The sequence below is a fragment of the Homo sapiens genome, chromosome 1 (genome assembly GCF_000001405.40).
Source record: "Homo sapiens chromosome 1, GRCh38.p14 Primary Assembly".
Taxonomy (NCBI): Eukaryota; Metazoa; Chordata; class Mammalia; order Primates; family Hominidae; genus Homo; species Homo sapiens.
In genome coordinates, this window is record NC_000001.11 from 206,632,286 (window position 1) to 206,655,751 (window position 23,466).

A 23,466-nucleotide genomic window follows, 5' to 3' on the forward strand; every position below is an offset into this window, starting at 1 on the left:
CAGAATTCAAGGGTCCAGTGGTCTAGCCTGGGCTAGCCTGCCAGGCTCAGGGAATACAGGTGGAATACAGGCAGTCGAGGGGCTGAGTTTTTCAACCAAACAGACCAGGGTTTGAATTTCAGTTCATCACTTACTGGCTGGGTGACCTTGGGCAAGTTATTAAACTCTGAGACTGTTTTCTGAAGTGTAGGATGGAGATAATACCTATCTCACGGGACTACTGTGAGTTTTAAATGAGCAAATATGTTAAAGTGCTTCAGATAGTGCTTGGAACATAATAAATACTTAGCAAATGGTAATGATGATTAGAAAGACTCCTGGTTTGGTTTCAAGATTTCAGAAATGAAGCTTCATAGGACCCCTCAGGGCTATAGGTGGAACTGGTCACGCTGACTTAGGAGGAACAAGTGGAAAAAGATGGCAAAAGTTTTGGAAAAGAAAAATAGGTGAAGAGTTTGTGATAATAAGGACAACCTTTAGGGTTTAGGAGACACAGAACTAAGTGTGTCTTAGTTGTAGCTGTACTACAGCACTGCGGGCATGGCTTTTGTTTGCTTTGTTAATAAGGGGCATTTTTCAAATCTTGGTGGAGAGGGGAGGGCATAAGAACAGGAGATGCCTGAGGTATAGAAGAGAGACAGTTTTCTGAGGCTCCAGAAAAATAAGCCATGGCTTTAGTGTTCCAGTGAGCTAGATTTCAGTGTTTCTGAAAAAAATAGCAAGTATACATTTCAGGAACACGGGTCAATTTGAGGTTAACATAGCTTGAGGAAAAAAGTAAGTTTCACTGGTTCTCTCCAGTGATTTTTAAAAAATATTTTCCAATTCTGTGATGCACATGTCACAGTAGGCATTATGGCACATTTTGCTGTACAGAAATGTCAATGAAACTTGTCCAAACTTAACATAACCTACTAACAGCTATTTTATCACAAAATTCCAGGTAAATGTGGCCACGGGGATGTTTTCTTAATCTGTGCATTTGAAACTTTGATCACATTGTGAATGTCCCAGTGGGTTTTTAAGATCCTGGAATAGTTGCATCTTTTTTACTGTTGTTTATTTCCTTAGTCAATGTATTAGAACTTGCAGGTACCTTATTTTGCAGATGTCTTGGAATTGGCTTCAAAGGACAGACATGCATCTTATATGACTTTTGGCTAATTCATGGTGGGTAAATCTGACTTTAACTGCATGGAGAATGATAATGGTGATTTTAAACTACTCTTGAATGAGGCTTTGGAGGGGAAGAAAGGGCATGAATGATGTGGAAGCTGCTTGGGAGCTGGAGGGGACAGGGCAGCGCTCAGCAGGGGTGTGGAGGCTCCTGCCAGATCCCTTATGGGACGTTAACCCCATCATACAGGGGATCTTTGAAGAAACATTGGGTCACTAAGGTCAGAGATTTATGAAGCTCCAGCACCCTCGAGGAGTCCTCTTTCCCTTGACCATGGGAACAATAGGCGAAAGACAAAGGCGGCCTCTGTATTTCCCACCTTAGGAGCAAGAAAGGGAGCAGGAACCCTTCCACTTGGCTCTGGAAGATGTGTCTTAAGCACAGACTGCGGATGCAATCCTCTCACGAGCAGTGATTCAGAATGAGGTAAGAAATCATGTGGGGGCAAGTCTCATTCAACTGTTTAGGGAGGGCAGTAAAGTGGTCTGAGGTGTCTACATAAGTACTGAGAACGGGGATTATTTAATAGAATTTTGCAATCTTAGAGCTGGAAGGGACTTCAACAGTAACCTCGTCCAATCTTTGCGTTGCCATGGAACTCTTTCTTCAAACAAAAGCTTCGTAAGAGCCCAAATACAAACCCCTGTGAAAGCAGAATTGCTCTGGTTGCAAAGTGGGGGAAGGGAGAGACAAAAAGAAAAAGTTTATTTATAAAATAAACTTTAAAAAATCATCATGGAAGAAAACTTTTTTATTTATATGTATATCATAGAAAGGCTAAAGTAACATTGATCACAAAAAATAAAATTCCCCAAACCAATAGATTATTAGTTTATACAGTGAAGATACTTTGGCTCTTTAGGGACATTTTTACTTGGAGTCACGAGAACAGAGAATATGACTTTTAGTCACACGGAAATGAGCCTTGGATGGGAATTTTTAAGATTTATGGGAACTGTGTGCTATGCTGATTTGGGACAATAAGCGTTCTAGTCCCACCAGGTGGCGCCCGCGTTCGGCATTCTGAGAACGTTTGGTGTCTTCTGGACTCCAGAATCTGGACGGTCCGACCGCCTCGTGCTTGGTGGGTTTACAAACTCTGACTGGTTCTTACCACCCATCTAACAGGAAATTTTTTTTTTTTAAAAACAAACCAACCCATAAAACATCTGACCAGATGCCACACTCAAGAAAACACTTGTATTCGGGTGTTTTAACCTCCAACGATGGAAATCTGCTTAACATTGGTGTTTCTGAGGTGTCTTAGCATCAGAAAAGGAAAAAGACACATATACACACATTCTAAGGAAAAAGTCAGGAAGGGCCTTGCAGAGGTAGGTCCTGGTGCGGCAAGAGGACGGTTAGGCGTTAGAAGCTTCTAGTTCAGGCTTTGCCGCTTCATGCTCATGAGGAAGCGCGGCTCCTTTGGCCTCAGTTTCCTGCGCTGCCTTCCCGTCTGTGGCTGACTGTTGCAGGGTAGTCAGACAAAGGCCCAGCTTCTATTCTGCATCCCAGCTAAGTCTGTAAAAGACGAAAGTCGTCGGGTACCTCCGTTACTGAGATCAAATGTTCATAAATGGAAGCATCGTGTCAATAAATGGGTTTATTATTATTGCTTTCTTATGTAACTCACCAACCCCCGGAGGGCCGTCCCCGCGGTGGGAAAGCCTAAAACAATACACATATGTTTTCACTAATTTAAAATTCATATTGAAGCGGGACGTTTTAGAACTTCCAGGACGCAACGTGCTATTAAGGGACCGTGAGGGGCGGGCAGCCCTTCTGAGATCGCGGGCTAACTGCTACTTTCACCCCTCCTTCTCCGGACCCCTCTCTCCGTCTACAGCTCGCGCCAGGGACCCAAACAGCCTAGGCCGCGAGCTCCTCGCCTCCAACCTCCCGCCTCCCGCGCCAGTACTAGCACCCGCTAGGAGCGCCGCGTGGCCTTTACCGGCCACGGGCCCCGCCCCTGTGCGTCAGCCCGTAGCTGCGCCGAGGCGTTTCCCGGGGGCGTGCCGCGGTTGCTAGGCGACCAGACCGCTCCCCCTCCCGCCCCTGGAGCTGCGTCTCCCCACTTCCCAGCCGGGGCCAGTCGGGAGCGAAAGTGCGCTGAGCTGCAGTGTCTGGTCGAGAGTACCCGTGGGAGCGTCGCGCCGCGGAGGCAGCCGTCCCGGCGTAGGTGGCGTGGCCGACCGGACCCCCAACTGGCGCCTCTCCCCGCGCGGGGTCCCGAGCTAGGAGATGGGAGGCACAGCTCGTGGGCCTGGGCGGAAGGATGCGGGGCCGCCTGGGGCCGGGCTCCCGCCCCAGCAGCGGAGGTAACGGCGCCACGGGGTAACGGGCTGGAGGCGCCACAGGGAGCGGCTGGCGCTGGCAAGCGAAGCTTGGGGGTGGGGAGGAGGTAGAGTGAGCCCTCAGTAGGAGGGACGAGGGCAGGGGTCTGACTGCCTCCCCGGGACCGCCCCCACCTCCTCTCTATCAGGGCCCCCTCCCCCCATCCCTGTCTCACCGGGCGCGGGGGACGGGGCTAGAGCGGAGTTAGAGCAAGAAGAATTTCCACCCCTGGATTCCCTCTGAAACCCTAGATCGGGGTATATGTTAAGGGATTACGAAAATCTAGGACTTTTTGTGGGGCTTTTTATTAAAGGGGGGGAGCCCGGGAGCAATACCTTGGAAAGAAGCCCTGTTGCTTAGAGCGGATAACCAACGGCTGAACTCTTGGGGTTTGCTGTGAGGGGTGCGGTCTAGCTTCGAATGTACAGGTTATGGGCTATGCTGGGTACGGCTTTCTCCGGATCCTATTTTGAGAGATTCCCCACCTTGCGTTGTATTTTACACCTAAATGGAGAGAAGAGACCCTTGCTCCCCGCTTTATTTGCATGCAGACTCTTGTTAATTTCCTCTGGCTGTTAGTCACTAGGCAATTTTGCACGTTTTCTTTTTCTTTATATATGTGGACGCCTATCCTGGTTTGTTTTATCAGGCTTATGGCAAAGGGTCAGTCACATCCAGAATATTTGGTTTCTGTTGGTGAAGCCATTCCCTGTTAAAAATATAAATAATTCTATCAGAATGTGAGCATGTTTTTAAAAAGAGCATTCCAAAAATATTTGTAGCGGTTTTTTTCCCTTTATATTTTTATAACACATCTATAAAGAAAACTCTAGAATGAATTTCACAAAACAGTTTTTAAGGTGACCAGAATATTCCAGGATATTTTAAAAGACGTTAAAAAATTATTCCTCTGCAACATCATCATTGTTATATTCATAGTGTATCATGTAAAATGATACAATGAAATGCTGATGTGTGTAACTGGGAAATCCGTGTTCTTGGTAGCAGATGAAATACATTATTCAGGGCCATCTTGTGGATTAAATAAATCCTCTCCGTCTTTTGTGTTCCCTTACAGTGGTGGAGCCACAGTGTTAAAGAACAGAGAAGTGATCCTTAATCATTTAGAATTTTGCCTCCACCATCCACCAGAAAATGAAGTGGAAAGAGAAGTAAATTCAATACATTTTATAATTTAGAGCATCCTTTTAGCGTTTGCTGTAGTACTTACTGTATTTTTCTGCAGGTTAGGTAGATGTAAGTAGGTAAGTAAGTAAATGAATAAAGAGAAGACAGCCTTAAAAAGGCCTTTTATTTCTTGCCTGTAAGACCCAGAAGTGTGAAGACTGGAGCTAGTCTTCCCATTAACATGGGGAAGACAGGCTCAGAGGAGAAGGTAGCACTGGGGAAGACAGGCTCAGAGGAGAAGGTAGCACAGCCAGTGTTAGAGCTGAGATTAGAATCCAAGTCTCTGACTTGAGAAACTATTACCTCTGTTAGTTTTTTCTGGTCTGTTTTTTTCTCTGTGAGCTTCAGTTTCAAACTAGCCTTTATTTTCAAGTAGTAAGTTATTATGAGATCCTTCTGATAGTCCTTATTGTGTTTAACAACATTCAGAAGGACTTGTTTCAACTGTTTTAAAATACAAACCTAGAAATGCTGTCCTTGAAAAACAAAAGTTGGATTTCCTCTGTACCTCTTCCAAATACCCCAGTTGTTTGTATTCAGTGCCAAAATGTAGTGTAGACATTTATTTCTATTACTGTTCCTTGTAGCAGATATGAAGCAGTTAAGACATAGGATTCTATATTCTTCAGTTCCTGACAGATTTTGTCTGTAATCCTTTTAACTAGGTTGGGGGATGGTGTCTATGACACCTTCATGATGATAGATGAAACCAAATGTCCCCCCTGTTCAAATGTACTCTGCAATCCTTCTGAACCACCTCCACCCAGAAGACTAAATGTAAGTAAAAGAAGTCATTCTTTGTACATGAATTGTTTTGGAAAGGAGGAAGTGCTACTTAATGCTCAAGGTACACTTATGTATCACTGACAACCAGACTTTTTTTTGGTTTATTTTTGATTTCTCTTGACTTTGGAATAACAATGTCTGTGGTCCAAATTTAGCTTTTCAGAATGATTTCAGTTTGGAGCTCACCTTTTTATTTCAGTTTCCACTGGGATAAATATATAGCACTAGGAAAAAAATAATATGCTACTTTTATTTAGGTAATGCTTATTTTTGTATAGGATGATATACACCTAGTATTACAAAGGCTCCTTTTAACAAAAATAAGAAACAGAAAACATGTCAGAATTCATAGATCTGCAGGAGTTTTTTTTCCCCTGCACGGTGGAAATGCAGTCTTCGTTTATTAGTATACTAAAGAGAACCATTTTATAGATAGATGATAACTACAACAGTTTGGTTTTTAATGCACTTAATCATTTTGGGGACTGCAGACACTTAGCTTTTTTTTTTTTTTTTTTTTTTTTGAGGTGGAGTCTCTCTCTGTCACCCAGGCTGGAGTGCAATGGCATGATCTTGGCTCACTGCAACCTCTGCCTCCCGGGTTGAAGTGATTCTCCTGCCTTAGCCTCCTGAGTAGCTGGGATTACAGGCGCGTGCCACCACGCCTGGCTAATTTTTGTATTTTTAGTAGTCAGGGGTTTCACCATGTTGGTCAGGCTGGTCTTGAACTCCTGACCTCGTGATCCACCCGCCTCGGCTTCCCAAAGTGCTGGGATTACAGGCGTGAGCCACCGTGCTTGGCAGCTTTTTTTTTTTTTTAACTTAAGATAAAATTAATTTGCATTCCTTCAGCATGCATAGAGTGGTAGGCAGAGCAGGGTTTGGCCAAGTTCCATGACAAAGAGAGGCTATCCTATGACTTTAAAATTTCCTGCATATGTCATCAGATGAACAAACTGAATAATTGAATTGACTCATTTGTAATATTTCTCTTTCACGTTTCTGTGTTTAAGACCTGAAATTGTTTCTATATGGAAAAATCACTTCTATTTTTCATAGTCCTTCCTGTGGTCATCAGTTTTTGCTTAAAATCAACCTTTTTCCTTTTTTTTTTTTTTTTTTTTCCTGAGACGCAGTCTTACTCTGTCTTCCAGGCTGGAGTGCAGTGGTGTCATGTCAGCTCATTGCAACCTCCACCTCCCGGGTCCAAGCAATTCTCCTGCCTCAGCCTTCCTGAGTAGCTGGGATTACAGGCGACTGCCACCACACCCAGCTAAGTTTTGTATTTTTAGTAGAGACAGGGTTTCACCATGTTAGTCAGGCTGGTCTAACTCCTGACCTTAAGTGGTCCACTTCCCTCGGCCTCTGGAAGTGCTGGGATTACAGGCGTGAGCCACCGCACCCGGCCCTTTCCCCACTTTCAACACTAGTAGTATACAAAACGTGAGCTAAAAATATTTTGAAGGCTGGTCACCCTATTTTTCGTCCCCTTTTTGGAGTGTAGTGGGGTTTCTTTCCATTCTTTGCAAGTTGTTTCTTTAATATGTCAAAATGTCTAAGAACTTCAGAACCATATACATCTTGTGTTGCCCATCAGATTGCTTGGTTACTTGCTGCCAATTGGTTCACCTCTATAGGAAACTATTTGCAATTGGGTTGAAGTGTTAACATCTGACTTTAAGTCATTTTAACTGATTTTTTTTTTTTTTTTTTTTGAGATGGACTCTCACTCTGTCACCTAGGCTGGAGTGCAGTGGCGCAATCTTGGCTTACTGCAACCTCCCGGGTTCAAGTGATTCTCCTGCTTCACCCTCCCAAGTAGCTGGGATTATAGGCACCAACCAACATGCCTGGCTAATTTTTGTATTTTTAGTAGAGATGGGGTTTCACTGTATTGGTCAGGCTGGTTTTGAACTCCTGACCTTGTGATGCACCCACCTCAGCTCCCCAAAGTGCTGGGATTACAGGCGCAAGCCACCGCGCCCAGCCAAGTCATTTTTACTTTGATTCAGAGTTAGCCGATGCTATTTACCTTCCAGTAGGTTACTTACATTGTATGTTTCAGGATCAAAAATTAATTTCTTACTGCATGGTGTTAGGCATGACAGTTTTGTGAGGGAGCAAGAAGATTTTAGATGTCTTACTCATTACTCATTTCTTTTTTTTTTTTTTTTTTTTTTTTGAGACCGAGTCTCGCTCTCTCGCCCAGGCTGGAGTGCAGTGGCACAATCTTGGCTTGCTGCAACCTCCATCTCCCGGGTTCAAGCAGTTCTCCCTGCCTCAGCCTCCCAAGTAGCTGGGATTACAGGCATCTGCCACCATGCCTGGCTAATTTTTGTATTTTTAGTAGAGATGGGGTTTCACCATGTTGGCCAGGATGGTCCCGAACCCCTGACCTCAGGTCATCCACCCACCTCAGCCTCCCAAAGTGCAGGCTTTACAGGCGTGAGCCACCACGCCTGGCTGTCTTTACTCATTTTGCTGAAAAAGAAAATAAAAATAAAAAATGCCTTTTGACCTCTTGGTGCCACTTACATTTCATTATGCCATGACTCTATCCCGAGATCCTGTTACTTTTTTTTACAAAGTTTTCTAGCTTCATTTATTCAAGATGCTCCTACATTCTCATGGTAAACTATAAATCATCTGCCCATAGGCTTTTATTGGGTTAAGTTTTGTGTTACAGGGATTTAGGGTTTGGGAGCTGGGGAAAAGGTAGGGTTTTATATCTGAGTGAGAAGGATATTCCTTTATTCCTTTTCAATTTCTCAGCAAGATTTTTTTTTTTTTTTTTTTTTAAGACAGAGTCTCGCTCTGTCACTGAGGCTGGAGTGCAGTGGCACTATCTCGGCTCATTGCAAGCTCCGCCTCCTGGGTTCATGCCATTCTCCTGCCTCAGCCTCCCGAGTAGCTGGGACTACAGGCACCCACCACCACACCTGGCTAATTTTTTGTATTTTTAGTAGAGAGAGGGTTTCATCGTGTTAGCCAGGATGGTCTCGATCTCTTGACCTCGTGATCCGCCCGCCTTGGCCTCCCAAAGTGCTGGGATTACAGGCGTGAGCCACCGTGCCTGGCCTCTCAGCAAGATTTTTAAGACTTGATTAATACAGTAGAAGATTCTATTTAAAATGCCAGAAGCCCATCAAATTAGCAGGGTATGTGAAGCATTCTTATGAAATAAAACATGATAAATATGACATTATTCATGTCTCTGGATATAATTACATGGTTAAGAAAATACTTGGTAGAGTCAGTCATATACATTGCTTGGTTATTGTGATTATAACCCTAGACTAGAAATATTTAGTGTTTTTTTTTTCAATAGGTTTTTGGGGAACAGGTGGTGTTTGGGTTACATGAATAAGTTCTTTAGTGGTGATTTCTGAGATTTTGGTGCACCCATTACCCGAGCAGTGTATACTAGACCCAGTGTGTAGTCTTTTACCTCTCACTCCTCTACCACCCTATCCCCCAAGTCCCCAAAGTCCATTGTATCATTCTTAAGCCCTTTCATCGTCTTCATAGCTTTGCTCCCACTTATGAATGAGAACATACCATGTTTGGTTTTCCATTTCTGAGTTACTTCACTTAGAATAATGGTCTCCAATTCCATCCAGGTTGCTGTGAATGCCATTATTTCATTCTTTTTTATGGCTAAATAGTATTCTATGGTATATATATATATACCATAATTTCTTTATCTACTCCTTGATTGATGGGCATTTGGGGAAATATTTAGTGTTTTAAAACAATTATAGTTTAATATGTGTGAACACTGTAGATTTTTTTAGAACAATGGAAGGAAGGTTTTATTTATAACACATCAGACTTGATATGTAATTGATTCAGGCCAGTATTTGAGTTATTTACAGGAAAGGAAAGAAAGTTAAGAAGAGAACCCCTCCCTGAAAGGATTTCCTATTTAATGTGCTGGGAAAACTGGCTAGCCATATGTAGAAAGCTGAAACTGGATCCCTTCCCTACACCTTATGCAAAAATTAATTCAAGATGGATTAAAGACTTAAATGTTAGACCTAAAACCATAAAAACCCTAGAAGAAAACCTAGGCAATACCATTCAGGACATAGGCATAGGCAAGGACTTCATGTCTAAAACACCAAATGCAACGGCAACAAAAGCCAAAATTGATAAATGGGATCTAATTAAACTAAAGAGCTTCTGTACAGCAAAGTAAACTACCATCAGAGTGAACAGGCAACCTACAGAATGGGAGAAAATTTTTACAATCTACCCATCTGACAAAGGGCTAATATCCAGAATCTACAAAGAACTTAAACAAATTTACAAGAAAAAATCAAACAGCCCCATCAAAAAGTGGGCAAGGAATATGAACAGACACTTCTCAAAAGAAGACATTGATGCAGCCAACAGACACATGAAAAAATGCTCACCATCACTGGCCATCAGAGAAATGCAGATCAAAACCACAATGAGATACCATCTCACACCAGTTAGAATGGCGATCATTAAAAAGTCAGGAAGCAACAGGTGCTGGAGAGGATGTGGAGAAATAGGAACGCTTTTACACTGTTGGTGGGACTGTAAACTAGTTCAACCATTGTGGAAGACAATGTGGCAATTCCTCAAGGATCTAGAACTAGAAATACCATTTGACCCAGCCATCCCATTACTGGGCATATACCCAAAGGATTATAAATCATGCTGCTATAAAGACACATGCACATGTATGTTTATTGTGGCACTATTCACAATAGCAAAGACTTGGAACCAACCCACATGTTCATCAATGATAGACTGGATTAAGAAAATGTGGCACATATACACCATGGAATACTGTGCAGCCATAAAAAAGGATGAGTTCATGTCCTTTGTAGAGACATGGATGAAGCTAGAAACCGTCATTCTGAGCAAACTTGCAAGGACAGAAAACCAAACACCACATGTTCTCACTCATAGGTGCGAATTGAACAATGAGAACACTTGGACACGGTGGGGAACATCACACACCAGGACCTGTCGTGGGGTGGGAGGAGGGGGGAGGGATAGCATTAGGAGATATACCTAATGTAAATGACGAGTTAATGGGTGTAGCACACCAACATGGCACATGTATACATATGTAACATATGTAACCTGCGTGTGGTGCACATGTACCCTATAACTTATAATAATAATAATAAAAATATAATAATAATAATAAAAAAGATAACCCCTCCCTGTGTGGAAAAATTACCTCCCAGAATTCTCCAGATTCACTGGAGAAGATGATATTGATGGTGGACTACACTGAAGTAGCCTGCTCTGTTCTGGAAGGCATGCTTCAAGAGAGACATAAAGTGCAGCCTATGTTGAGAATGTGAACAGGAGAGTGGGTGAGGTAAGGCAGATGTAGTGGGGATGGTGAACCTACAGAATGGTGGAGGCAGGGACAGCACAGCCCCTTTTAGGTACCCAGAGGGTTCCTACTTGAAATTTGGACACTTCTGTGTAGTTCCCAAAGGCAAGGTACAACTTATTTTGCAAGGAGAGAAATTTAGGCTTACTTTAAGGAAAAACCATGAGTCAGGGATTCTAAGTGACATCTTTAATATTATTGTAATAGTTCTATGGAAATTACATTTCTGATATGTATCTGTTCTTATTAATGTTGTGTACCTGAGACCCTCTCATTATCACAAACAGAAATGAAGACCTTCAGAGCCAGTCCAGCCTTACACGTAAGCAGAGTAGGGGAAATTCCCAGGGACAGACGCTGCACCACAAATACCTTTCCTAACAGCTTGTCACTGGTAACTTCAGTTCCTAGAGAGGCATTCCTTTTCATTAGGGCATTGATCTTCTGTTGAAGTTCAAATATCCATGGAGAGGTAACACAGTACATTGTATAGTGAGTGGAAAGCATGTTTTATGTGGGGAGAAAGTGGGTGAGGCAATTCCGTGTATCCTAAGTGAAGGCCTATTGTGGGGGCCCTCATTGAGCAGAAGGCATAGTTAGTGCTAGACGCATGATGGAGGGAGATCAGGCTGGAGAAATGGAGGAAGCCGCCAGCAAGAGAAGAGAGAAAAGGGGAAGGGGAAGGGTGTATAGGAACTTAAACTTTAATGTATTGAGAATTTTGCTGAATTGTAACCAGTGTCTTTTAAATATTTTATAGTTGGTGAAATTATTATTTTTAATTAGAATTTGATTCACACAACATCCTGCAAGTAGATATTATTATCCACATCTTACAGATAAAGAAACTGAGGCTCAGGAAGGCAACAGGGACCTACAGCTTTTTTTTTTTTTTTTTTTTTGAGAAGTAGTCTTGCCCTGTCGCCCAGGATAGAGTGCAGTGATGCAATCTTGGCCCACTGCAACCTCTGCCTCCTGGGTTCAAGCAATTCTTCTTCCTCAGCCTCCTGAGTAGCTGGGATTACAGGCACACACTACCACACCTGGCTAATTTTTGTATTTTTAGTAGAGATGGGGTTTCACCATGTTGGTCAGGCTCGTCCCCAACTCCCGACCTCAGGTGATCTGCCCACTTTGGCCTCCAAAAGTGCTGGGATTACAGGCGTGAGCCACCACACCTGGCTGGACCTACAGCTTTTAAGTAGTGTAGCCAGGACCCCAACCCAGGCCTTCTGACTCCCTGTTTCTTCAGGATGTGTTTCAAAGACTTAAGCAGTAAATATTTAGATGAATTAAAGTTAGGTAGTAAAGATTTTAAGGAAAACTAGCCAAGATGCTTGTAGATGTTTGTTTTTGTTATGTAAATCTAATTAAAACCAAATAATTAAAATTCTTTTCCTAGTTCCACCAAATTTATTCCCTAATAGATTGCAGGCTGGAATGCAGTGGTGCGATCTCAGCTCACTGCAACCTCCACCTCCCCAGTTCAAGCAATTCTCCTGCCTCAGCCTCCCAAGTAGCTGGGAATGCAGGTGCGCGCCACTACGCCTGGCTAATTTTTGTATTTTTAGTAGAGACAGGGTTTTGCCATGTTGGCCATGCTGGTCTCGAACTCCTGACCTCAGGTGATCCACCCGCCTCGGCCTTCCAAAGTGCTGGGATTACAGGTGTGAGCCACCACGGCTGGCCAATATTTAGATTCTATATGTGGGCCTGTTTATTTTCTTGACCAGTGATAGTTTTCTATTTTGGTATCAGAGAGACTATATGTACTTGGGCAATATCTGGCCCCTTTATTTTAAAACTAAATGCCAAGCTGTGGCTACATTTGAACTGGCTCCTTGACTTTGTTTAAGATCATATAATACATCATGTAACTGTAAGTGTTCTATAAATATTTAAATTGATTAAATGACTTTTAAAAAGGAGCAAGCAGGACTTTTATAACTGAATTACGGGGGCTGTCTGAGGTATGCCAACACTTAAATTTTTGTCATTTATGTTTTTTAATATTGTTTTTTGTTATTTATTTTTGGTAATTTATAAATACAATTTTTGTTTTGCTTAGGTTATATTAAAATTTCTAGTTTTTAAAGGTTTGACTACTTTTTAGCTTACATTTTTAGAGATTATAACTGTAGCCCAGAGCTCCTCCGGAATTAATCTGTTCCTCTTACTACAGGCTCTCTGAAATTATCAAACAGATAAAGGACATAATTCTTCAGGGTCCATTGAGAAAAACAGTTGTTCTTTTAAGTATCCTAGACTTCCTTTTATTTATCCTAGACTTCCTTTTATTTTTAAGAACAGATTTAACATTTTTATCTTTCCAGCCCCTTCTTAGTATTTTTCACTTATTTCTTTTTTTATTTTATTTTTTTGAGACAGTCTCTCACTCTGTTGCCAAGGCTGGAATGCAGTAGCGTGATCTTGGCTCACTGTAGCCTCCACTTCCCAGGTTCAAGCGATTCTCCTGCCTCAGCCTCCCAAGTAGCTGGGATTACAGGCATGCATCCATGCATCACATCTGGCTTTTTTTTTTTTTTTTGTATTTTTAGTAGAGGTGGGGTTTTGCCATGTTGGCCAGCCTGGTCTCAAACTTCTGGCCTCAAGTGATCTGCCCGTCTTGGCCTCCCAAAGTTCTGGGGTTACAGGGATGAACCACCATACCTGGCCAAAGTTTTTATTTTATTTTTTATTTTATTGATTTATTTTTTTGAGACGGAGTCTCACTCTGTCGCTCAGGCTGGAGTGCAGTGGCATGATTTGGCTCACTGCAACCTCCACCTCCTGGGTTCAAGCAATTCTCCTGCCTCAGCCTCCCAAGTAACTGGGATTACAGGTGTGCACCATCATGCCCAGCTAATTTTTGTATTTTTAGTAGAGACAGAGTTTCACCATGTTGGCCAAGCTGGTATCGAACTTCTAACCTCAAGTGATCCACCTGCCTTGGCCTCCCAGAGTGCTGGGATTACAGGCGTGAGACACCACACGTGGCCAAAAAATTTTATTTTTTAAGGTGTCCAGTATGATGTTTTGATACACATAGTGAAATGGTTACTACAGTCAAGCCAATTAAATGTATCTATCATCTCACATAGTTACCCTTTTTTTGTAATAGTAATTAATTAATATTAATTTTACTTAGGTGTTTGGTTGTTTTTGTCCTTCTTTTCCTCCATCTTATTTCAAAAAACCTTGTTTCAGTTCAAAGAATCTTAATTCAGAGGTGTAAGTAGAGCTTTTTTCTGTGGGTCAGTATCCCTTCCAGGAGAAGATTGTGGAAAACCTGGTGAAAGGAGTAGTACTCCTTTATCAAGTAGGCTCTTGCTAGGGAAGAGTTTTATAAGTACCCCAGGGACCTTGGACCCTCACTGTTATCAGGTACTTGAAGAATTGGTCCAGATGATCTCAAAAGTTCTCTTTAACTTAGAGCTTTTGTGATTCAATGAACTGAGTTAAAAGGCTACAGTAATTTATATGGGGACCTGGGAGTAGATGATTGAGCACGTTGTTGATTCCAGGCCATAGTCAACATTCAGCCCTGCTAGTCTACAGGTGCTGGGAGAACCTGGTGCTGAGTTATGTTAATGGCAAGGGCCCTTGAATAGGAGCCAGAAGACCTATTCTGGTTCAAATTCTGCTTCTGTCACTTGATAGTACCTTCTTGTTTACACTTCAGTATGCATTATTTTCATCATGCTATATGTCCTTAATATTTGGGAAGATACTTGAAACAATTAGTAAACAGTGTAAGGTAGTGCATATATTATACATAATCAAGTACCAAATTATGTGGCACAAACTGGAGAAGCTGCAGTTAGGATATAAGATTAATTAGTATGGGCTTGGCATAGTTCTAAGTGGAAGAGAGAGGAATTAAACTGGGCTTTGAAGGAATGTAGGAGTCGAGGGGATGAGGGGGTGGAAGGATTCTCAGTACAAGGACACATCTGTAAGAAGGAACCTGGCATGTGGGGGGCATGGTAAGATCATCTTGTCTTGAACAAAGCAAGGCATGTATGGGGGTTAGGGATGGCCGCAATATTCAGGGAGTCTGAAAATTAATATAACACAAGTTGCTAGAGACTCTTGCTTTTCTTATCTTCTTTTTGGGTCATTTTAACCTTAAAGTAAACATGACTGGACATGTTTTGTTGTTATTCAGTTGGAGGAGGGAGGATTCTTCCATCTTTCTAATGTTTTTAATGACTTATATTCATTTTCTCTTTCATAGATGACCACTGAGCAGTTTACAGGAGATCATACTCAGCACTTTTTGGATGGAGGTGAGATGAAGGTAGAACAGCTGTTTCAAGAATTTGGCAACAGAAAATCCAATACTATTCAGTCAGATGGCATCAGTGACTCTGAAAAATGCTCTCCTACTGTTTCTCAGGGTAAAAGTTCAGATTGCTTGAATACAGTAAAATCCAACAGTTCATCCAAGGCACCCAAAGTGGTGCCTCTGACTCCAGAACAAGCCCTGAAGCAATATAAACACCACCTCACTGCCTATGAGAAACTGGAAATAATTAATTATCCAGAAATTTACTTTGTAGGTCCAAATGCCAAGAAAAGACATGGAGTTATTGGTGGTCCCAATAATGGAGGGTATGATGATGCAGATGGGGCCTATATTCATGTACCTCGAGACCATCTAGCTTATCGATATGAGGTGCTGAAAATTATTGGCAAGGGGAGTTTTGGGCAGGTGGCCAGGGTCTATGATCACAAACTTCGACAGTACGTGGCCCTAAAAATGGTGCGCAATGAGAAGCGCTTTCATCGTCAAGCAGCTGAGGAGATCCGGATTTTGGAGCATCTTAAGAAACAGGATAAAACTGGTAGTATGAACGTTATCCACATGCTGGAAAGTTTCACATTCCGGAACCATGTTTGCATGGCCTTTGAATTGCTGAGCATAGACCTTTATGAGCTGATTAAAAAAAATAAGTTTCAGGGTTTTAGCGTCCAGTTGGTACGCAAGTTTGCCCAGTCCATCTTGCAATCTTTGGATGCCCTCCACAAAAATAAGATTATTCACTGCGATCTGAAGCCAGAAAACATTCTCCTGAAACACCACGGGCGCAGTTCAACCAAGGTCATTGACTTTGGGTCCAGCTGTTTCGAGTACCAGAAGCTCTACACATATATCCAGTCTCGGTTCTACAGAGCTCCAGAAATCATCTTAGGAAGCCGCTACAGCACACCAATTGACATATGGAGTTTTGGCTGCATCCTTGCAGAACTTTTAACAGGACAGCCTCTCTTCCCTGGAGAGGATGAAGGAGACCAGTTGGCCTGCATGATGGAGCTTCTAGGGATGCCACCACCAAAACTTCTGGAGCAATCCAAACGTGCCAAGTACTTTATTAATTCCAAGGGCATACCCCGCTACTGCTCTGTGACTACCCAGGCAGATGGGAGGGTTGTGCTTGTGGGGGGTCGCTCACGTAGGGGTAAAAAGCGGGGTCCCCCAGGCAGCAAAGACTGGGGGACAGCACTGAAAGGGTGTGATGACTACTTGTTTATAGAGTTCTTGAAAAGGTGTCTTCACTGGGACCCCTCTGCCCGCTTGACCCCAGCTCAAGCATTAAGACACCCTTGGATTAGCAAGTCTGTCCCCAGACCTCTCACCACCATAGACAAGGTGTCAGGGAAACGGGTAGTTAATCCTGCAAGTGCTTTCCAGGGATTGGGTTCTAAGCTGCCTCCAGTTGTTGGAATAGCCAATAAGCTTAAAGCTAACTTAATGTCAGAAACCAATGGTAGTATACCCCTATGCAGTGTATTGCCAAAACTGATTAGCTAGTGGACAGAGATATGCCCAGAGATGCATATGTGTATATTTTTATGATCTTACAAACCTGCAAATGGAAAAAATGCAAGCCCATTGGTGGATGTTTTTGTTAGAGTAGACTTTTTTTAAACAAGACAAAACATTTTTATATGATTATAAAAGAATTCTTCAAGGGCTAATTACCTAACCAGCTTGTATTGGCCATCTGGAATATGCATTAAATGACTTTTTATAGGTCAATGCATCTTTGTTATTATCGTCAGATGTATTTCAACTGATGTATTATACTATTGGTTTAAATCTCTTTCTCTCAAGATAGAAGGTGTAGCAAAAGTATCCCAACTACTCCTCGCTTCTAGTGTCCCTCGGCATCTGTTCTGGAGGGGTAATTTGGGATGTGGTGTTAGTTGTGGCTGAGAGCCAGTGCTAGGTCCCTTGCCCCACTAGGCCATTCTCTAGGCTCATTCTAGGTGAAAGAGCTCACAGCAGACTGTGGGGTGGGGGAGCACCAGGAAGCTGTTGGTGACCTGGACAACTGGTGTCCCTGGTTTTCAGTGACTCGCTCCTCTTCCCTTCAGTTCTCTGATGTTTGGTGTTATTATTTTATGTTGTTATTTTGCCTCTGATTTGTTTCCTAGTCACTCAAAGCATTTTACAGAAGCCTTACCACTTTACTAAATAACCCTGTAAGGTACTGATTTAAAAACTGAGTCATATGCATCCCTCCTCCTTTCCTCTCCCATGCCCAAGGAAGATAAAACAGCTTCTCTGCCACAATTGACCCAGAGTGGTAAAGATAGAGAATCAGCATGAAAACTGCAGTTCCCCAGCTTTGTGGTACTCCACGGACCAGCCTCCTTGCTGCATTTTCATAGAATCTCTTCCTTATAAAAGTAATCACTCTCGGATAAACCTTACTACAGTTTAAAAATGCTTCCCTCTTCTCTTTACAGCTACCTGCCACTTCAATGTGCCACATTTTTCCCCCCACTTTCACGTTAAGCTTAATGCTATTCCCTAGATCTGAGTGAACTTCAGTTAGAAGAAGAAAACTAAAAATCCAGAAACTGGTGATAATCAAGTTTTCCCTTTTTATGTTTCTTAATTTTATTCTCTTCAACAGCTTTTCTTTTTCTCTGCTAAGATTTAAACAGTGAGGGCTGATAATAAAACTAATTGTTAAGCCAGTGTCCTACTTACAAGGGTGGAGACGGGACAGAAGCTAACTCACTGCTACTGGGTTTTGTTTGTTGTTTCCTGTCCCTTGCTCTATTTCTGTCCTCTTCCAGAACAAAAGTATGCTCAAGTTCTATCCTAAATGTGTGCTCTTGGCTGGGTATTAGTGGCTCATGCCTGTAATCCCAGCACTTTGGGAGGCTGAGGTGGGTGGATTCCTTGAGCCCAGGAGTTCAAGACCAGCCTGGGCAACATGGTGAAACCCTGCCTCTACAAAAAATACAAAAATTAGCCAGGCCTAGTGGCACATGCCTGTAATCCCAGCTACTTGGGAGGCTGAGGTGGGAGGATCACTTGAGCTGAGATCATGCCACTGCACTCCAGCCTAGGCAACAGAGTGAGACTCTGTCTAAAAAACAAACCAAAAAAAGTGTGTTCTTTAAAGTAGAATATTTGCTTTTTACAATATAGTTCTCAGAATGATCCAGTTCCATTTATTATTCTAGAATGTGGTGCAAACTCAATGACATTGGAAGAGACTCTTTTTGTTGGGCAGTGTAGGAACAAGAAAAGAAAATAAAAATGCCATGAGTATATTATTTAAGGAACTTTTGTTTTATCCAAAAGTAGTCATGATTGCTGTAGCATAGGCTGTGAAAAATGAGAGAGTGCAAATCTCTCTCATTTAAATGTCCACAGTGGCTTTAGTCTCCCAAGTACAAGGGCCAGATGGCAGAGAACAGCTTAAACTGAGCCTTCAGCCTCATTAATAGGAGGAAGTCTTGGTACTTTTGGTGACTAAGAAACTGGATTATTTAAAACCTTAATTATCTCCTTTACTCCTGGTTTACAGAAGGCAATAAATATACAACTCCTTTAGATCCCTCTAACTCCTGCTGAATTTTCTTTCTTTTTTTCTAAGTCTGCATCCTATCTCTTGATTCCATTGCCTGAAGAAGCTGTGTGAAATTAGTCTGGTTATTGGTTTTCTTGTCTGATAGTGGCATCTTGATCTCTTCAGATGTCACACTAAATGCTGCTCATAACCCATCCTCCTCTTCTTTATTCATCACTGCCTTCTTCAAGGGAGGTCTTGAAACTGCCTCATCTACCTCATGATCTGCTAGTCGAGATAGTGACTCTTTGGAAGTTGGTAGTCCAATGTCTGCTTCCCCGCATTAACCACATTGCGTAGGTTTGGGAATTTTGCAGGTGCTAAATCATCATGGCCAGGAAGATGAAACACCTTGAGAAATGGGAACATCTCTTCACTGTGTTCTTGGATCAGCCTTCTTTCAACTACCAAGAAATGGATGATTTCTCTGCCAACTCCAGGAAGTAGTACAGCATGATTGAATCCTTCTTCAGTGAATCTTTTCATTGTAACTTAGGGTGTAAAAGCTCATATCTACTCAAAAAACTCAAATCTACTCTTTCAGTAGATATGAGCTTACATTGACTTATGAATGGTTTTCCTGTAGGCCCAACAGTGTCATGACCCTCCAGTTGAAACAAAGCATGAGTTATTTTTATATCGAGTCCTTGAACTGCTAGCCAGGTAGATGTTTCCTTGAAGTCCAGAGCAGGATCCAAGTCAGATGAAGGAGGTGGCACACCTGGCTTAACTGCAGATCAGGGAGCATTGAACCTCTACAATTTGCTGCATTGGATTTCTGCATGGGTTTCTCACTGAATAGTAAATTAGAGAAAATGCTACTTTTACTATTTTGCATTTTATATCAACATTAGCAGCCTGTTCCCACTCAGGTGCTGTCCAAGGCACATGTTTCCTTGGGATGTTTGGACAGAATGATCTGGCTTGATGTATTTCTTGGGCTCTGGTACCACATCATAGAGTTGGTTAAATGTAGCCAGCAGCAGTGTCAAGACAGCTGACACTGTCTTCCAAGAGTGAATGCATTGGCCTTTGGAACTGCTGCTAAAGCCATGTGTGGGGTGGCGAGCACATCTTTAGGTGGCAGCAAGGCTATATCTGATTGACACAGATCTGAAGTCTCTAACACCATATTGCTGTTGTCCTGAATTTTCTAACTTGGAGAAATTTAAGGATCTCCTGCATTATCTAGGCAGAGCATATGTTGAGGTTGTTTTGCCAGTTGTTATCAGTGTTGAAGAACTGCTCCTGTAAGCAAACTGTTAAAAGCATTACTACCCCATATGCATCTGATGTACACTGTGTTTTGGTGTTTGTGTTTTTAGTGAGAGTTCTAGCCAGTACTGTGCCTGAACTTGGGAGAGAAAGGGGCCTGTGGCTGAGGTTGGTGCGTGCTCTATTTCTGTGTATCGAATGGACTACAAGGTTACTGAAACTGGGCTAAGGGAAAGTGTATAGACAACTCATTACACTGTAGACAGATTTTAGAAAGCTACAGGAAGGCAAATGGATGTTTCTGCCTCAATTTGGCAACCGAGAGAGTGATGCAGAGCAGAGTCATTGAAGTTGGCATACCTGTCTTCTGCAGGCCAATTCAAGTTTGAGGAGAGTGGGCTGCTTAAAAACATGGTGCTCGTCCACATGGATTTGAGGAAGTTTATGGTTGGGTTTCAAGCTTAGGGACAAGTTGTGGTTTTTAGAGGCAGTAACTCTATGCCACCTTATTGGCCACTGTTAAAAGTTTCACTTGGATCCCTGCCCAGCCATAGCAATGAGTGACTGAATTGGATCAGAGTTAGTACAGAAATTCAGACTGTCTCTTCCTCAGTTACTGGATTGTTCTTTAGCCATTTTTCTTCTAGTCATTTCAGTCAAACTGGTTAGGTTAGGTGACTTACTGAGTTCTAAATTGACAAATTTTAATTTCCAAGTTGTTTCTGACACGGTGAGAGTTGGGTTAGAATTTTTATTTCATTCCCCAAGTCATTTTTTCTTTTTCTTTATTTTTTCTTTTTGAGACAGAGTCTCGCTCTGTCGTCCAGGCTGGAGTGAAGTGGCGCAGTGTTGTCTGCAGCCTCAACCTCCCAGGCTCAGGTGATTCTCCCATCTCAACCTCCAGAGTAACTGGGACTACAGTCACGTGCTACCATGCCTGGCTAATTTTTTGTATATCTGTAGAGAGGGGGTTTCACCATGTTGCTCGGGCTGGTCTTGAACTCCTGGGCTCAAGTGATCCATGTGCCTTACCCTCTCAAAGTGCTGGGATTATAGGTGTGAGCGACCGTGCCCAGCCTCATTTTTTCTTTCAATATGGAAAATTGGCTAATCCACCTAATACCTGCTCATCTTCTAGTATTCTATCCTACCATCTACCCTCAGAGTTATTGATGTACTCTTTCATCATGTGCTATCATGATTTCTCCTTAGATTAGAAAGTAAGCTTCAAATGGGAGTGTGTCTTCATATTGTTCTGAATTAACAGATTTTGATGCCCGCTGATCATGTGCAGATGATGGAAGCTCATTTCCTTCCATGAACCAGGAGCATGCTCGCCTCTTCTTTTAAGTTGACCCACACAATCTCTGATGTCTTCTTTTTGGGAAAGGGTAATGAGATAAGGATTAAGGACATTTTCTTCTGGTCCAGTGTTAGATACAGTTACCTTGATAATAATGAAAAAAAAATGAATACCACCAAAACCTAACTATGATGTAAGGATTCTGCTTCTGCCCCACAGGGGCTCTGAAAGAGTCTAGCCTGGATCTTCTTTCCCAGAGGAAGTTTGACTTATGACCATATTAGTATGCTTTATTCCTTGGTGTTTAAGGGAGTTGGGGCAGACAGGTTAGCTGGCTAATGTCATTACAATTTAGTTTTTGTGACAATCTGTTAAGAAGGGGGCTTATTGCATAATCAAAAAAGAACAATAAAAAAATAAAAATTTCTACTGTGAAACTATTTCAATCTGTAGCAGCTGGTCATGTTAAAACACTTTCTGTTTTGCTTAATTCGTAACTAGGCATAATTAAAGTTAAATGCTAAATTTTAGGTAGCAGCTGATAAATGGTTCTAAGCTTTCCTGACAGAATACTCCTACTACTTTGGTGAATCATGGAAAACTCTTTCTCCTTTATTTTTAATTATTTCTTTTCCATCTGTTATTGATGTCATCAACACGGAAGTTGGAAAGGTGACAATGATTGTTCTAGACTGCCTCTGTAATGCTTTTTCTCCTCTGAGAATTAAAAATACATACTTACACCTTGAGCCAGGTAGAATTGCCAGAACATGTTTTCCTCCGTGTCTTCGGTCTAGATGACCAATCTGTAGAACGCTATAACTTACTATGCGTAGAGCAGCGGCAGGCATTCATGCTATGGAAAACCTGGAGTCAGTACAAATAAGGAGTAAGAAAAGGCCAGGGATTGGCAAATCAAAGAAGAGTTCTCTTCTGCCAGGGATTAGCCTCCTAGTTTTAAATATATTTTTAATATCCCCATTTTAACATACTCCATTTTCACCTTCAACCTATCCTTCCTGAAGCCCAAACTTTTAAAGAATTTACTTCCAGACCTGGCCTTCAGCCTAATATGATTAGGGTGTTTTTCTGAGTGTCTGTCAAATTATGCTGGCTAATTTCAATGAGAAAAGATTTTAGAGTCACAGTGAACCCATCCATAAAAGGACTAAAAGCTCTCTCTGGTCCCTGAGATCCACAACCCCTGAGAGAAGCCAGAACTACAAATGCATCGTCTAGACTTTGAAGAAGCAGGGTATGATTCTTAATATAGCCCACCCATCGCTAAGTCAAGCCTAGACTCTAATATTTTTCTATAACAGGAGAAGCCTCCCTGACTGGAGACTAGAGTCTCACATCTTCTGCCACCACATGAATAGACTAAAAAGAAAGGAGAGTCCCACATCAGGCCAAGTGGTGACCTGTGGCTATTTCAGCTCAGAATGTCAGCCTCTGAAGCATCAGGTTTGAATGACTTTGGTGTCATGGGATTCTGTCCATTGTCCGTTTGAGTCTGCTGACATGCTTCCTCTGGAAAGTGCAGTTTGGCATGGATGAGTCAGTGGTTTTTTATTTTGGGGTGTTTTTTAAAAAATAAAAATGAATTGCTTTGAGAATTTTTTAGCATCCTGATTGTTTCAAAACCAAGGCTGAGAACTGTCGCAGGCAGGAACTTGTGTGCTGTACTCTGAAGGAGGTGAGTACCAGTCGCTGGGTAATTAGGGCTGTGCTGCAGGTACAGCCTCTCTTGCTTGATGACAATGATACAGAAAGAAAATCTTGGGAAGGGAAAAGGCTGCCCTGAGAAACAGCCTTACAGAGAGTCCACCAGTATTCTTCCTTTAGTACCCAGAGCTTCTGTTCACAGTCTGGTTTGTGAGCTCCAGCCTTGCTGTGAAGGAAAATGGGAAAACATGTAGAGTGCTCAGGGCTAACCATCTCCCAGAAACCCGAATCAGCAGCTCTCCCATTTACCCTCTTGGGGCCCAAGCTCAGCTTAAGGATGAAACCTGACACGCAATAAGGAATACAGTTTATTTGGGAAGTTTGGGTGTTTTTCTTAGGCCCAGACCCCAGTCTGTGGGATAACTTTTAAAGCCTGAGGGAATTGAGTAAATGAAAGAGGAAAACAATGTTCTTAGGGGTTGTGGGCTCTGCTCCAGCCTGCTTCTGATCTGGCCCTGAGCCACAATTGCCCTGGCAACAGGAG

The 23,466-nt window shown here is 42.3% G+C and overlaps 1 protein-coding gene and 1 long non-coding RNA gene across 9 annotated transcripts, besides 2 other annotated features; one reads left to right on the forward strand and one right to left on the reverse strand.

Moving 5' to 3' along the window:
* Positions 1-1,910: 1,910 nt before the first annotated feature.
* On the reverse strand, positions 1,911-3,383 carry DYRK3-AS1 (DYRK3 antisense RNA 1). 2 transcript variants are annotated; one of them, NR_183645.1, is made up of 2 exons: positions 3,315-3,383; positions 1,911-2,698 (listed from the first exon to the last, which is right to left on the reverse strand). It is a non-coding gene; the product is annotated as a DYRK3 antisense RNA 1 (long non-coding RNA). The 2 variants fall into 2 exon arrangements; NR_183644.1 differs by lacking the exon at positions 3,315-3,383 and adding an exon at positions 2,811-3,099.
* Positions 3,111-3,530: a silencer, noted in NCBI's record as "silent region_1759". NCBI's record gives its function as "represses an Ori minimal core promoter by ATAC-STARR-seq in GM12878 lymphoblastoid cells {active_cell/tissue: GM12878}" and the evidence as "EXISTENCE:reporter gene assay evidence [ECO:0000049][PMID:35858748]".
* On the forward strand, positions 3,251-22,873 carry DYRK3 (dual specificity tyrosine phosphorylation regulated kinase 3). 7 transcript variants are annotated; one of them, NM_001004023.3, is made up of 4 exons: positions 3,251-3,495; positions 4,590-4,683; positions 5,365-5,476; positions 15,103-22,873. In NM_001004023.3, exons 2-4 carry the CDS (start codon positions 4,667-4,669, stop codon positions 16,678-16,680), a joined length of 1,707 nt encoding a protein of 568 aa, NP_001004023.1. In that variant the 5' UTR covers positions 3,251-3,495; positions 4,590-4,666; the 3' UTR covers positions 16,681-22,873. The 7 variants fall into 7 exon arrangements, with proteins under 7 accessions (NP_001004023.1, NP_003573.2, XP_047288074.1 ...); XM_005273315.5 differs by having other exon boundaries at positions 3,423-3,768; XM_047432114.1 differs by having other exon boundaries at positions 3,423-3,578.
* Positions 3,581-3,690: a silencer, noted in NCBI's record as "silent region_1760". NCBI's record gives its function as "represses an Ori minimal core promoter by ATAC-STARR-seq in GM12878 lymphoblastoid cells {active_cell/tissue: GM12878}" and the evidence as "EXISTENCE:reporter gene assay evidence [ECO:0000049][PMID:35858748]".
* Positions 22,874-23,466: the final 593 nt, after the last annotated feature.